This window comes from Homo sapiens, chromosome 5 (assembly GCF_000001405.40).
Source record: "Homo sapiens chromosome 5, GRCh38.p14 Primary Assembly".
Classification (NCBI taxonomy): Eukaryota; Metazoa; Chordata; class Mammalia; order Primates; family Hominidae; genus Homo; species Homo sapiens.
Window position 1 is genome coordinate 141,976,062 of NC_000005.10, and position 16,120 is coordinate 141,992,181.

A 16,120-nucleotide genomic window follows, 5' to 3' on the forward strand; every position below is an offset into this window, starting at 1 on the left:
CACAAACTAGAGCTTATGGTTTAAAAGCAAAATTAAACCTTAAAAAGGATAACACAGGTAGAATAAAAAGGAGTATTACTTTACATTCTAATGTCTGTGCCAGAGGCAACAGATGCAAGACAGTTGATTTGTCCAGGAATATCAAGACTGTTTGGCATTTAGGCCACTGATAGTTGGCTTAATTATTTAGATCTTCATAGTCCTATTTCACCAGAGAGCTTTTCATACTTTACATCCACGCATGTGCGTGCATGCACGTGCATGCACACACACGCACAAAACAGGGACAGATTAACTGGATGCGTGGTTGTGGTTTCAGATTCCAGCCAACCAGCATCTACTTAATGCTGGATTTGGGGGCGGAGGTGTGTGCTGGGGAAGAGAGTTGTTTTATGTGTTACAGCTAAAATTACAGTAGAATTCTTAATCAAATAAATGTTTATGCATATAATTAACATTTTAATTGGTCTCTTATATTCCTTCTTGGTTCAGTTCTTGTTTGTTGCTGTACCCTGATTCCTTGGCATTATGACTCTCACCTGTTAATGGTGAAATTGACACATAGAGCTGTCATTCCCTGAATTGGGGCGGGTAGACAGAGGGAAGTGGTTTTAGTTTTCTAAAACCTTATTCCTTATTCCTCCCCCAATATACTTACACAGTCTCTTTCCCGTCCCCCTTCCATTTACATGCATTCCAGCTGCCTTTCTCTCTCTTTTTTTTTTTTTTTTTTTTTTTTTTTTTTGAGATGGAGTCTTGCTCTGTCACCCAGGCTGGAGCACAGGGGCACAATCTCAGCTCACTACAACCTCTGCCTAGTGGGTTCAAGTGGTTGTCCTGCCTCAGCCTCCCAAGTAGCTGGGAATACAGGCGCCCGCCACCACACCTGGCTAATTTTTTGTATTTTTTAGTAGAGACAGGGTTTCACCATGTTGGCCAGGCTGATCACCAACCCCTGACCTCAGGTGATCCACCCGCCTTGGCCTCCCAGAGTTCTGGGATTACAGGCATGAGCCACCACGCCCAGCCCCAGCTGCCTCTCTTGAGAAGGGACTGGGGTAGAAAAGAGGTTGGAGAATGGCTTCTTCATAGGACTTGGTAGCTCACACAGCACTCATAGCTTCCCTTTTAGTATTTATCACATTTTACAGATGTTAGCAGATTTCTCAAAAGCATGGTTGATTTATAAGGATATTTATGCAAATGTGAAAAATCATTAGTTGTTCAATCTTAACTCATCAATAAGTATTTAAGGTAGTACCTATGCAGGGTTTAGTCAGTGGCACTACACAGAGTGTAAGAAACAGAAAATCTGGTCCCTTTTCATTTGTCATTTAAATTTACAAAATTTGTTTGCCATCTGGAAGGCATATTTTTGGATGTTTACCTAAAAAAGAAAAGCTGCTTATAATTCCTGTGCTCTAGTTAAAAATATTTTATATTTCTAATGGAAAATTCTCCAACATTTGCCTTTCAAATTGAACAGACCACTTTTAAAGAGGAAAATTCCAAATAATTTAATTTTGGTTGCTTAGCTTAGGAAGTGTAAGCTTTCTCTATGGCTGCCAAACCTTGCTGAGGGCTTGTGATTAGGACCAGGGTCAATATCAGGCAGCTTCCCTCCATTAACCAGGATCTGATATAAGCCCAGATTGCTTACTTAAAAGCAGCTTGTAAATCTGAACAAGGACTCTGAGGTTGAATTCTGTTAGTGATTGTTTCAGATGAGTTGACTTTTTGATAAAACTGAAAGAATTAATTTTAAAACTTGGATAGTATTTTTAAACTATTCTTTTTCTAACCATTATTCTAGGATACGAACAGGGCTAGGACTCCTAATGGAAGAAAAATAGTTTATTTTTAGAACTAGATCTCTTTGTCCTACATGAGGTATATGGCAGTACTAAAAGATTAAAGAACAGAAAAAAGTCTTCCATTTCAGTGGCTAAAATGTACAGCTATTTCTCTACCTTACGGAGTCTTGCTATTTCTCTTCTTCTCGTGGTACTTCTTGCTTCTGACTTTATGTTCTACTCTGGCTCATGTTGCCGAATAGTTTAAGAAGTGCTCCAGTAAGAATGTTTGTACTGTTTTGTATGTAGCACAGTGTATCACAGCAGTAAAAAATAGTGTTAGAATAAGGGCCTAACTTGCAAGTGGAAAAGATTTCTAGGGAAACCAGGAGTTGGCAGCAGCATCATCTTTCCAAACTCACCAACATCTTCATGTGTTTTCTCCTAGCTATCTGCTCTATGCAAGCACTTAGACAACCTATGGGAAGAACACCGTGGCAGCGTGGTCCTGTTTGCCTGGATGCAATTTCTTAAGGAAGAGACCCTAGCATACTTGAATATTGTCTCTCCTTTTGAGCTCAAGATTGGTTCTCAGAAAAAAGTGCAGAGAAGGACAGCTCAAGCTTCTCCCAACACAGAGCTAGATTTTGGAGGAGCTGCTGGATCTGATGTAGACCAAGAGGAAATTGTGGATGAGAGAGCAGTGCAGGATGTGGAATCACTGTCAAATCTGATCCAGGAAATCTTGGACTTTGATCAAGCTCAGCAGATAAAATGCTTTAATAGTAAATTGTTCCTGTGCAGTATCTGTTTCTGTGAGAAGCTGGGTAGTGAATGCATGTACTTCTTGGAGTGCAGGCATGTGTACTGCAAAGCCTGTCTGAAGGACTACTTTGAAATCCAGATCAGAGATGGCCAGGTTCAATGCCTCAACTGCCCAGAACCAAAGTGCCCTTCGGTGGCCACTCCTGGTCAGGTAACTGTTTACCCTGCTGATGGTTGCCTCCTAATTCTCTTCCATAAATGGAGATATCATCTCAGGAACTTCCTTGATAGGGCTCATGGGGCAGTCCGAGGCCTTGGAGCCAGCCCACAAGTTGTTTTGCTGTATCCATTAAAAATGCTATGGTCTTAGTCTACTGCTTAAGCAAATGGAATGCTTCCTTTGGCCTTGCAGTGGGCAAGGATGAGTGTTAAAGTAGTTATTAAGTAATTGTGATAATTTACTTTGTATATCTGCTAGTAGGATCCCATAAACCTTGGGGAATCACTAGCTTATTCTTGTGTGAGGTTGGCATCTGAAGGGGACGTCTCTTAGAATGATTAACCAACTTTTTTATAGACTTCAGCAGAAGTACAGCCTACTTAGGTGGTGGTGGTGTTGTTGTTGTTGTTGTTGTTGTTGTTTTGTTTGAGATGGAGTCTTGCTGTGTCACCCAGGATGGAGTGCAGGGGCATGATCTCAGCTCACGGCAACCTCTGCCTCCAAGGTTCAAGTGATTTCCTGCCTCAGCCTCCCAAGTAGCTGGGATTACAGGCACCCGCCACCATGCCCGGCTAATTTTTTTTGTATTTTTAGTAGAGACGGGGTTTCACCACGTTGGCCAGGCTGGTCTTGAACTCCTGACCTCAAGTGATCCTCCCGCTTTGGCCTCCCAAAGTGTTGGGATTACAGGCGTGAGCCACTGCTCCTGGCCAGTTTTTTGTTTTCTTATTAAAGCATAATTTTACTTAAAATAAACTACACATTTAAATCATACAAGGCTAGCATGGTAGCTTACACCTATAATCCCAGCACTTTGGGAGGCCAAGATAGGAGGATCGCTTGAGGCTAGGGGTTTAAAACCAGCCTGTGCAAAATAGCATGACTCCATGTCTTAAAAAAAAAAAATCAGGCATGATGGCAAGTGCCTGTTGCCCTAGCTACTTGGGAAGCTGAGGTAGAGAATCATTTGAGCCCAGGAGTTCAAGGCTGCAGTGAGCTATGATTGCACCACTGCACTCCAGTCTGTACGACAGAGTAAGACCCCATCTCTAAAGAAATAAAACTAAAATATAAAATAAATTGGACACTTTGCTTAGTTTTAACAAATGTGTAGACCCCTATAATTGTCATCTCAGTCAAAATGTACTTGGTTTGATTTTGAAGTGAAAGAGAGGTTTTAATTTATGTGCCCATCTGGTTTACACTAGCATCCTAAGAATCGCCTCAGGTTCAGAACTGGTTGTGGAATCATCAAACCTATGGTGTTTTGTATTTCCCTCCAGGTCAAAGAGTTAGTGGAAGCAGAGTTATTTGCCCGTTATGACCGCCTTCTCCTCCAGTCCTCCTTGGACCTGATGGCAGATGTGGTGTACTGCCCCCGGCCGTGCTGCCAGCTGCCTGTGATGCAGGAACCTGGCTGCACCATGGGTATCTGCTCCAGCTGCAATTTTGCCTTCTGTACTTTGTGCAGGTTGACCTACCATGGGGTCTCCCCATGTAAGGTGACTGCAGGTATGTTTTAACTGTGAACCCAAACCCCCATCCCCAGTCTCTCCCTCACATTTCACTCTACTACCAGGGCCTTATGACTTCATTCTTCAATTTGGAAGTATTCATTTAGCAGATATTTCTGTGTCAGTGACTATCTCAGGCCTTGGGGCTGTAGTAGTGACCAGAAGAGACAAAATGTCTGCCCTCATGGAACTCACATTCTACCAGGGGAGACAGGAAAACAAAATAAGGATATTAGGTGGTGGTAAGTGCTGAAGAGGCAGAAGAAATAAAGCAAGGACAGGATATGAAATGTTCTGAAGGGGAGGGGACTTGGGATTTTAGTTAGGGAAAACAGGGGAGGCCTCACCGGCAAAATGGTTTAAGTAAGGACTTGAAGGAGGTAAGAAAAACCGTGCAGATACCAGGGAGGAACATTCCAGGAGAAGGAATGGCACAGGAAATTCTATATACAAACATGGAATAATGTAGATCCTGGATGGCCAATGCAGGGCATCTAAGCTGCCATTCTTGTCTCCATGGCACATGTGTTTGACTAGTCATCAAATGCTTTCTCCTTGAGCCCAGAGAGGCCTCAGAATCTTCCTCAACATGGCACTTCGGAAAGCTACCCTCTGATGAAGTAGACACAGGAGTGAAATGTGTTTGCCGTTTCCAGTCTACGTAAGGAATCATAAATCAGGCCCTTAACGTCGATTTAATTGGACTTTGGTGGCTTAGTCTTCTTCAGACTAACAGGGATAATGATAACAGCTACCTCACAAAATTGCAGCTAGAGCAGATAACAATAACTTCACGGGGTTATTCTAAGGATGAAGGGAACGAATATCATGCTATTCAAAATTGTTATATTTGTTACACTGGTGTATAATATATAGAAATTGAGAGGGTTAGAAACTTTTATAGTGATTTCACATAATTTTATGTCAAATCTAATAAAAATTTAGACTTTTTTTCATTTTTCTAATAATTGATTGTTAGCTGACTGTGGTGGTGCACACCTGTAGTTCTAGCTATTCAGAAGGCTACAGCAGGAGGATCTTTTGAGCCTCAGTTGAGACTAGCTTGGGCAACGTAGTGAGACTCTGCTTCTAAAAAAATTAAATCAAGCAAACCTGGTTATATCTTATAAAAGTGTTGATCTTTGACGTATCAGAGAAAAAATAAACTGGGCCTTTACCATAAATAGTTTGAGAAACAGTGGGCTAATACATGTAAAATGCAGAATGGGGCTGGGCATAGTGGCTCACCTCTGTAATCTCAGCACTTTGGGAGGCCAAGGTGGGCGGATTGCTTGAGTCCAAGAGTTTGACACTATGGCAAAACCCCGTGTCTACAAAAAAATACAAAAATTAACGAGGTGTGGTGGTGCACATCTGTAGTCTCAGCCACTCAGGTTGCTGAGGCGGGAGGATCGCTTGAAACTGGGAGGTAGAGGCTGCAGTGAGCCAGATTGCACCACTGCACTCCAGCCTGGGGGACAGAGTGGGACCCTGTCTCAAAAAAAAAAAAAGAGGAAAAAGAAAAATAGTAATTATTAATGCTATTATTATTGTAGTTATTACTTGCTAATGTTAGCAGACTGTCATTATTTCCAAGAAAGTACCATGAGAGGAAAGAGTGGGTAGATAATTTCAGTTGCCTCAGGCAGCACCTTGCAGAAGGTAAGGCCAGATGGAATGGAGAACTTAGCAATGTATAATATAAGCCTTTACTTTAGACTTCTGTAACCTTTTCATTAAAAGTCAACAGTACATTTCAAGTGTTTCACAGCATTCAGGGAAGAAATTGAAGATAGATTCAGGGCTTTAGCAAAATTAGGAATCTCTCCCTCTCTTTGTATGTATATATTATATAAAATATGAAATACAATTTTATTATTTTGGGAAGACTAAAGCAATATAACCTTTGTCCTTAAGATGCCTAGGAACACAAAAATGCATTGAATTATTAGAGGGATGAGATTTACATTGCTTCACTGCTACATTGAAGTAGAGGTGATGAAGCTGTGGGAATGTACTACACAGAGAAAGAATTCACAGGTGAAAGCAAAGAGTGGAGATAGGATATAGGATTCTATACCAGAAGATGTCTTTTGCTTTAAAAGGGAGATAGACTTCCAAATAATGTGAGGAAAGTAAACTGATAAAATAACTAGAACATTGTTGAGAAAACTCTTTAATTAATTGTATTGAAAAATTAAGGTAATACAACTGTGAACAAAAGCCTTTTGTCTGCAAGTAAAACCTTTGGGATTGGTTACCTGTTCCATTTCAGTTAAATGATAGAGCAGTAGAAGCCAGATTGAAGAGTATCGAGGGAAAACTTTTCAGCACCTGTAGCAAAGCATAGTACGGGGTGAGACTTGGGTGCTAAGTTTTATTCACTGATTTTTTTTTTTTACACAGAATTGAAGAGGTAGTCTTTGCCCTTAAGCCAAAAGTGCCTTTGTATTTGGTAGGCCTCTTCATTATCAAACAGTGAATGGTGCTGACTTAGTGGAAAAATCAATGTCTGTTTCAACCTTTGTGTCTTCTAGATAAGTCAGTCTTTAACTGCATACTTCTAGATGCATAAACATACCAACATTAAGAAATCAAAATCAAAGGAAAAAAATAGCCTATCTTATTCTACCACTTTTAGCAGATACATCTTTTCTAGTTGGGGGATTCCTTTCCATTTATTATCATTTGTGCAAGTATAATTTTTACTGGGTTATAACATAAATATACTTTTTTTCTGGATTCTGTGATGAGTGTTTTAATTGGGTTGTAGCGAACCTAATTATGTTTTTAATAATTGAATATTATGTCATTAAATGGCTCTTCCAAACATAATTATTTCCTTAGAAATTTAATTTTTTTGCCATTGTTATATGCATCTCCATGCATATGACTTTGGATTATTTCCTTATGATAAAGTTCTAGGAATAACATTATTGAATAGTCGAAGATTATAGCCATTTTTAATGATTTTTGGTCAGCATTACAAAGTTATATAAAAGTTAATTTTCCATTTCACTTTGTAGAGAAATTAATGGACTTACGAAATGAATACCTGCAAGCGGATGAGGCTAATAAAAGACTTTTGGATCAAAGGTATGGTAAGAGAGTGATTCAGAAGGCACTGGAAGAGATGGAAAGTAAGGAGTGGCTAGAGAAGAACTCAAAGAGCTGCCCATGTTGTGGAACTCCCATAGAGGTAAATGTTTTGGGACAGACTTGGAGGCCATCAGACTTGCAAGGATGTTATGATTACCTTAAGAAGCCTTACTAGTCAATTTTATGACTTACAAAACACATGCTGGTATTATTACACCTTCTTACGTGGAAGGTGGAAATTTCACTATTAGATCTTGTTATCGACCTTAAATGTTTGTAGACTTCCCTTTTCAAAGTATTTGCTTACAGTGACCATTGTTCTCACATTGTATCCACCTCAAAATTGAATGGGTTGTAAGGAGGGCATACTAGAGCTATGGTCAACTCTTACCTCATCTATGTGATTAAAAAAAATCAAATCTGATCTCTCAGAACTATTTATCCTGGAATGCTGCACACCTGTTTAAGATACACTCAGGAATTAATTTGAGTCAAAATAATTAGACAGATATATTGCTTCTTGACAAAAATCTTAATATGTTTTAAAATCAAAATACATCTTAGCATTTGATTCTATTGTTCTAATCTGTTATGTCTGAACTGAACATAGTGGGCTCCAGTTAAGGAAACTAGGACTATATGTAATCACTTTTTTTTTTTTTTTTTTGATACTGAGTCTCTCTTGCCCAGGCTGGAGTGCGGTAGTGCAATCTCAGCTAACTGCAATCCCCGCCTCCCAGGTTCAAGGAATTTTCATGCCTCAGCCTCCCGAGTAGCTGGGATTACAGGCGCCAGCCACCACACCTGGCTAATTTTTGTATTTTTAGTAGAGACAGGGTTTCACCATGTTGGCCAGGCTGGTCTCGAACTCCTGACCTCAAATGACTCGCCCACCTTGGCTTCCCAAAGTGCTGGGATTACAGGCATGAGCCACCACACCTGGCCATATAATCACTTTTGACATACCTTAGCCCTATGACAGAGTGGAGGACTTGGTACCAAATATTTACTTAGATTTCTGTAAAAATTAAAAACCCACACGTTACATCCAAACATTTTAATATTAATCTAACTACATTTTCCAGTTATACTTGTGTGATTTTTATCTACTGCTTGTCAGAAGAGATTGTGCCAAGTAACTAATTGTAGTAACACTAGCTATTTTCTGTATTTTACTTCTAATGCAAAATAGAAAGAATTACATAGTCATCAGTGTGTTACATTGATATCTCAACCCTGCATAAGAAAAGGGAGAGGACCAAGACAATGTTGTACTGAATCATTTTGGCATGTGCTGTCTCTTCTGCTTTTACAGCCTTGATATTTTTCTCTTTCTATCCTTCCCACCAGAAATTAGACGGATGTAACAAGATGACATGTACTGGCTGTATGCAATATTTCTGTTGGATTTGCATGGGTTCTCTCTCTAGAGCAAACCCTTACAAACATTTCAATGACCCTGGTTCACCATGTTTTAACCGGTATGTATACACAGAATTCCTCAGGCTCACCAGCAATTTTTGGTACTTGATTTGCAGACCACAAATCCAGTGTTTTATTTAAGTACTTGGACTTATTTAGAGAATTCTCTTACATGTTTTCCCCTATAAAGGAATTTTCATATTATTTTCTCAAAAATGAGTTTTATAATGAGACTTATACACCATCTGGAAGTTTTTATAGTGAAAGTTTTCAAACACAGAAAATTTGAAAGGATAGGACTATGAATAGTAGGATACTTTCCACCCAAATTAACAGTTGATAGTACTTTGCCATATTTGTTCCCTTAACATTTTTACTGAACTACATGAAGTTGGAGTTATGATAATGCTTCAACTCTAAATATTTCCACGTTTCTCCTAAGATAAGGAAATGCTTCTACATAATGACAGTACTTTTAAAAAACTTAATGATAGTGGCATACTATTATCTAGTAAACAAACATATTTGAAACTTCCTAATTATTTCTGAAAATATCTTTTAAAGCTATTTGATTGAACCAGAATCTGAACAAGTTCAGTCATTGTATTTGGTTCTATCTCTTTAGTCTCTTAATACAGAAAAGCTTTGGCCCACCTTTTTTTTGTGTGTGTTTTGTGAACATTCACTTTTTTTTTTGTTGAGTCAGAGTCTCGCTCTGTCGCCCAGGCTGGAGTGCAGTGGTGCCGTCTCGGCTCACTGCAAGCTCCGCCTCCCGGGTTCATGCCATTCTGCCTCAGCCTCCTGAGTAGCTGGGACTACAGGCGCCTGCCACCACGCCCGGCTAATTTTTTTGTATTTTTAGTAGAGACGGGGTTTCACCGTGTTAGCCAGGATGGTCTCGATCTCCTGACCTCGTGAGCTGCCCGCCTCGGCCTCCCAAAGTGCTGGGATTACAGGCGTGAGCCACCACACCCAGCAAAACATTCACTTTTTGAAGAGTCCAGGTCAGTTATCTTATATAACGTCTTACCTTCTAGACTTTTATTTGTCCATGGTGTCCTTTAGCTTGTTTCTCTTATTTGCTATAAACTGGAAGTTAGGTCTAGACTGAAGCTTGATTCGATTTAGAATAACATTTTTTATGCTGATACTTCATGAGGAGTGATGTGTATTCCGTATTGGATCACATCAAGAGGTCCATGATGTCCCTCATTAGTGTGGTGCTCATTTCTACAGTTTGCTTTATTGTAAAGGCAAGTTTTCCATTTTGTTATTAGGAAGTAATCTGTGGGGTGATTCCTTGGCACAATGTGAATATCCTGTTCTCCAAGAGCTCTCCACTTTCAGCATCAGTTGATGATCTTTGTTAAGAGGTGTCTGTTAAGTAAACACATTGGTATTGTGAAACTGTAAGAGAAATTGAAGAAACAAGCCCTGCCATGAACTATTGGAAATCTAGTGTTGGAAATTGCATAAGTTGTAGATAACATAAGGAAAGGAAGACAAATTGACAGCTACAAAACATTCTACAAATGGAGGGTGCAAGGACTGTGAAGATAGAATGGAGTGATGAGCATGTAGTAGTAATAATAGTGTCTTGAAAGGGTTCAGTTTAAATTGCCTGACTTCCCCAGTCTTGCCTTATTCCATGTATTGTATACGCTGAGTATCAGTTTTGTGATACCTATCCCTCATTATTGTTTATCCTTGGCCCTGGAGAATTTGTCTGGATTCTAAAAGGACTGTTTTGTTCGTTTGTTTTAATTTGGAAAGGAGAGCTTTATTTCTCATAAAGAGTTGAAGCCGGCAAGGTGGCTGTTATGACAGGTTGGGAAGCATAGCCTTCAGCCAGAAGCTGGAAACAGACACTCTAAGGATGGGAAGAGGAAGACAGGGATTTATGCCCTACAAGATAGCCAGATATACATATTCAGTAAGGTATAGGAGGAGTCATGAATATTTATGAAAGGAGAAAAACGCTGCATGTGCAGTTGAGCTTCATTACCCTTCAGGGGACCCATGTTCAAAAAATGGTGGCATTAGCATGATCTCTGGGGGAGTTCTCTGATATCAAAAGGTGAAGCAGAGAACACGAAAACCTCAGTCCACATCCTCCATAGACTGGCTAGAACCACTCCATGGTCAGTGGTCTATTGGCAGGAAGAAATGCTGGTCGGTTTTTGTGCCAAAACTGCAGAAGGGAGGGGCAGCATCAGGCAGTTGGTTGATATCAGCGGTGGAGCAAGTCTTCCCAAAGGGTTGGTTTGAACCCTTAGGGAAAGAAAGCCTAATGGTGGTCAGTGAGGGAGGGGGGTATGACCAGGTGTGTCTGGCCTCCCATCCCATCATGGCCGGGAACTGTTTTCAGGGTTTCTCTGGGGTTCCCTTGGCCAGGAGAGGGTCTGTTCAGTTGGTTGTGGGGCTTAGGGTATCATTTTTATTTCTCATTTTCCCCTTTTTGGCTGAGATTTGCCAGAGGCAGCATTGATGGTCAAACTTATTTTGTCCCATATCATTGCTGGAGTGGTGTGGCTAACCTGCCTCGCCTCCATCTAGGCCCTCAGTGGGACCCCTATGGCCAAGGGACTTAAGGCCAAAAGACAGCCAATTAAATCTTCTAGGCCAGTGGGAATGGAGCTGGACAAGTACTCATCCACCTTAAATGGGCCATTCTTAACTAACTTTAGGGTAGATTGTTCAGAGGGACCCATATTTCAGCCCTCCTCAGTGCAATGATTAAAGGAGAAGAAAAGATGTACAAAGATGTTATAAGAGTACAAAAAATATTTTTCAGCGGAGAGGCAATTTATATTGTTTCGTTCAAGTGTATAAAAATGTACCTTTTTTAATGCTTCCAGGCTGTTTTATGCTGTGGATGTTGACGACGATATTTGGGAAGATGAGGTAGAAGACTAGTTAACTACTGCTCAAGATATGGAAGTGGATTGTTTTTCCCTAATCTTCCGTCAAGTACACAAAGTAACTTTGCGGGATATTTAGGGTACTATTCATTCACTCTTCCTGCGTAGAAGATATGGAAGAACGAGGTTTATATTTTCATGTGGTACTACTGAAGAAGGTGCATTGATACATTTTTAAATGTAAGTTGAGAAAAATTTATAAGCCAAAGGTTCAGAAAATTAAACTACAGAATATTAAATATTATAATGTGCCCAAAGCTCTGAATAGTTAAAAATTAAATATTTATTTTCTTCCCCAAGCTTTAGGTAAGGAGAAGAGGGGTCAAGAGTTAAACTTAGAGACCCTTTGTCTCTGAGAAGCATCCTTCTAAGACATTCTGTTGGAGTTCCCTCAGTACTATTCCTTACAACTGGAGTGGGTAGAAGCCTTATGAAAATTATACTGAGAACCTGATCTCGTTTACTCCATGTTAATCACATTCCTACCAACCTAAATTTCTGCCAAGTCAGTTCTCTTTGGAGGAAGCCCATTACTCCGTAACTGACTGGATGGTCCAGTGTCATTTTGATCTGCTTTTCAGAATGGAAATTTATAATATAAATATATGTTTTAATACCACAAACACTGTGGGGCACTTGATATTTATTAGTGGTGTATATGGTCCACTGGTTTCAGGCCAAATCTAGAATTTAGTGATACTGGCTCAGAAGAATTTAAGTTCTATTCAGCCTTCCTGGGTGTTAGAACCTAGATTCAAAATGGCTTGTCTTTGCTACTTTTGTTCCACATTCTCTCTCTTTACCTTTGCCCTACCTTCTGTTTGTAAGGATGATTTTAATATTAATTCCAGGAACACATGTTTTTATTTCCTCTGCTGGAATAGGAGAAAGCTTAATATATTCCCAAGCTGAATGTTCTTGAATTATATCTGCATTTACCACTGTATATGCATATAGTGACAGTATAACCTGTCTATACTACAGTAGTTCCAGTCCTAACTTTCTGAATTATTTTTAAAGATCTTCTCTAACAAGCTATGGGAATTTGGCTTCATACTCTTTCTTTGCAACAGCAGTGTTCTGGGTGATAATTTTGAATTGATACCTGTTCCTTTTTCTGGGTTTTGTTGGCTTTTTGAAAAATTGTCTTTCCTTATCATTGGTGGGAGGCTTGGTAGCAAAGTAACATTTTTTGGAAAAGAGGACAGAAAAATTGAACTACAGCTTGAGAACGTATTCTTTTTTTCCTACTTTGTTATTGCAAATTGAGGAATCACTTTTAACTGTTTTAGGTGTGTGTGTCCAGAGTGAGCAAGGATTATGTTTTTGGATTGTCAAAGAGGATGCTTAGTCTTAAAATAAAAATAAATTTAAAAATCATCTTATAATTAGAACAGAGTTGCTGCTATTTGTTCTGTCACCAAGGCAACTAATCACATTTTAAAACTGTTCGGCATATAACATATTCTTAAAGTAAGAAAAAAAAGGTCACAGAATAGCATCTCTTTTACCTGGGCTTGTGACTGAGCTTAGGTTTTAGGGCCCATATTTTGTTTAAACCAGATAGTTTCATGGTCTTCCATTCAGGACATTTTGTGTAAAAATTGAGGTTAATTTGCTGGGCACAGTGGCTCACGCCTGTAATCCCAGCACTTTGGGAGGCCTAGGCGGGCGGATCACGAGGTCAGGAGTTCGAGACCATCATGGCTAACACGGTGAAACCCCGTCTCTACTAAAAATACAAAAAATTAGCTGGGCATGGTGGCAGGCGCCTGTAGTCCCAGCTACTCAGGAGGCTGAGGCAGGAGAATGGCATGAACCTGGGAGGTGGAGCTTGCAGTGAGCCGAGATAGCGCCACTGCACTCCAGCCTGAGCGACAGAGCGAGACTCCTTCTCAAAAAAAAAAAAAAAAAAAATTGAGGTTAAAGAATAAATTAAAGATAAGAAATGGAAATTAAAATGATTTGTTCTACAGTATATACCTGAGAAGAGTGATTTCTGTGATCAAAGAGTTCAATTCAGATTTATTCAGAAAGAGCTACTCAGAAGCTCTATAGTTCGTGAGCTACTTGATATTTTCTAGAGATCATTTTATGTTAAGCTGTTATACATTGTTGATGATGTCATAGAAGTAGGAAAGAAGCCTTTATAATACAGTTTTATGAAAGAAATGGGAGCCTTTTTTCCCATTTATGATATTAAAAACAACACAGGTATTTGGTGTTTAGTCTCAAAAATTTGTTTGGTCACCTTAGTGATTCTTAGGTACAAAGTCTTCATCACTCAATTTTAACAAAGAAAATAGGGCTTATAAAGTTATACTTTTGAAGCATGAGTTATGAGCTAATTTTAAGATGTATAGTTTTGGTAGAGTACTTTTGTCTCAGTAAAATGAAAGATTTGGGTAACTCCCCAAATGCCCTGTAAAACAAATGGGTTTGTGGAAGGTTGTGGTGTCAGCAAAATATATGATAGAATAAAGAGTTTTGTACCTACCTTAATTTCATGAAAGCCTTTTTTTATGAGTGGGTTGAGATTTGCCATAAATTAGTATGAATTTCATGGGCCTTTTTTCTTTTTGAGACAGGGTCTCACTGTCACCCAGGCTGGAGTGCAGTGGTGCGATCATAGCTCACGGCAGCCTTGAGATCTGGTCTCAAGCAATCCTCCCACCTCAGCCTCCTGAGTAGCTGCGACTGCAGGCACATAGCACCATGCCCAGCTAATTTTTTTTTTTTCTTTTTAGTAGAAATAAGGTCTCGCTATATTGCCCAGGTTGTGAACTCCTGAGCTCAAGTAATGCTCCTGCCTCAGCCTGCCAAAGTGTTGGGATTTACAGGCATGAGCCACAGTGCCTGGCCTCCTGGGTGTTTTTGGGGGAGTTTGAATAGTCAGTGTCTCTTCATTTTTATATAAAAGGTTTGGGTCTAGAGCTGATAAATGAAAATAAGCTATCAAATAACTTATTTATTTATTTATTTGAGATGGAATCTCCCTCTGTTGCCCAGACTGGAGTGCAGTGGCACAATCTCAGCTCACCGCAGCCTCCACCTCTCAGGTTCAAGTGATTCTCCTGCCTCAGCCTCCCAAGTAGCCAGGACTACAGGCATGCTCACCGTGCCCAGCTAATTTTTTTGTATTTTTAGTAGAGATGGGGTTTCACCATGTTGGCCAGGCTGGTCTCGAACTCCTGACCTAGTGATCCACCCGCCTCAGCCTCCGAAAGTGCTGGGGTTACAGGCATGAGCCACCACGCCTGGCCATAATTTTTTTTTTTAAATCAAAATAGCTCTGTGACATTTTAAGCTTGTGATCGAACTAACTTTAGGGCCTGCCTTTGTCAGTTGAGATGCATCTTGTTTCATCCATTTTTCTTTTAGTTTAAATTTTTATTATTATAATTTTTATTTTTTTAGCTACCCTATTAACAGACCATCCATTTTTTAAAAAGAAACTTTTTATTTTAGAATATAGATTGACAGAAAAAGTGCCAAGATTGTACAGCGTTCCTATGTACCCCTCACTTGGTTTTCCTTATTAACATATTAGTGCAGCACATTTGTCATATTAATGAAGTAGTATTGATATTATTAAGTAGAGTTCATACTTTATTCAGATTTTCTTAGTTTTACCTAATGTCCTTCTTCTGTTCCAGGATCCCTTCTAGGACACCACGTTATTATATTTAGTTATCATGTCTCCTTAGACCCCTCTCAGCTGTCACAGTTGTCTCATCTGTTTTTATTGTTATATAAACATTAATTATACCTTGGTACATCTGGATTGGGCAGGAGCCAGAAAACTTTTTGAAGACAGATTACCTAATCCTAGCAGGCTCAGCAAATCAGTGATTTCTTTTTGACTGAGGTCTTTTGTAGCTTTAAATCAGTTACTTCTCAGGATGCTTCAGTGCTGTGTATGCAGTTTTAGGCTGTTCACCTGTTCTGGTAATTTTCCTGCTCGGCTTCTTGAAAAACATCATTAAACACTGGGCAAGTTGATCAAGTCAGGAAGTCAGCTGGACCCATTAGACTGTGCCCTGGTGTGAGAATTAGCCTGCCATCTTGGCTAAATCCCGAAGTTTGTTGAGTAGATGTATCCCTTCCTGTTGACCTGTGGAGGAGCTGGTGAACGTAAGAAAGGCTCAGTATCAGAAGCCATATTCCCAGACAGATTTGTGGTGTTAGTCAGCAGTCTTTTTTTTTTTTTTTTTTGAGACGGAGTCTTGCTCTGTCACCCAGGCTGGAGTGCAGTGGCTTGATCTCGGCTCACTGCAACCTTCGCCTCCCGGGTTCAAGTGATTCTCCTGCCTCAGCCTCCCAAGTAGCTGGGATTACAGGTGCCCACGACCACACCCAGCTAATTTTTTATTTTTTATTTTTTTT

General features: G+C 39.8%; 1 protein-coding gene across 23 annotated transcripts in view; it reads left to right on the top strand.

The window, feature by feature from the left end:
* Positions 1–14,231, top strand: part of RNF14 (ring finger protein 14) — a 40,956-nt gene extending 26,725 nt beyond the window's left edge. For 15 of the 23 annotated variants that reach the window (XM_047417904.1, XM_047417903.1, XM_047417899.1 and 12 more), the window contains 5 exons: positions 2,242–2,769; positions 4,062–4,290; positions 7,319–7,491; positions 8,742–8,872; positions 11,672–14,231. In XM_047417904.1, the coding sequence (XP_047273860.1) occupies positions 2,242–2,769; positions 4,062–4,290; positions 7,319–7,491; positions 8,742–8,872; positions 11,672–11,729 (1,119 nt within the window). In that variant the 3' untranslated portion in view covers positions 11,730–14,231. The remainder of the gene's footprint in view (positions 1–2,241; positions 2,770–4,061; positions 4,291–7,318; positions 7,492–8,741; positions 8,873–11,671) is intronic. The other 8 variants (XM_047417908.1, XM_047417907.1, XM_047417906.1 and 5 more) reach the window with 1 other exon arrangement.
* The last annotated feature ends 1,889 nt before the right edge of the window (positions 14,232–16,120 follow it).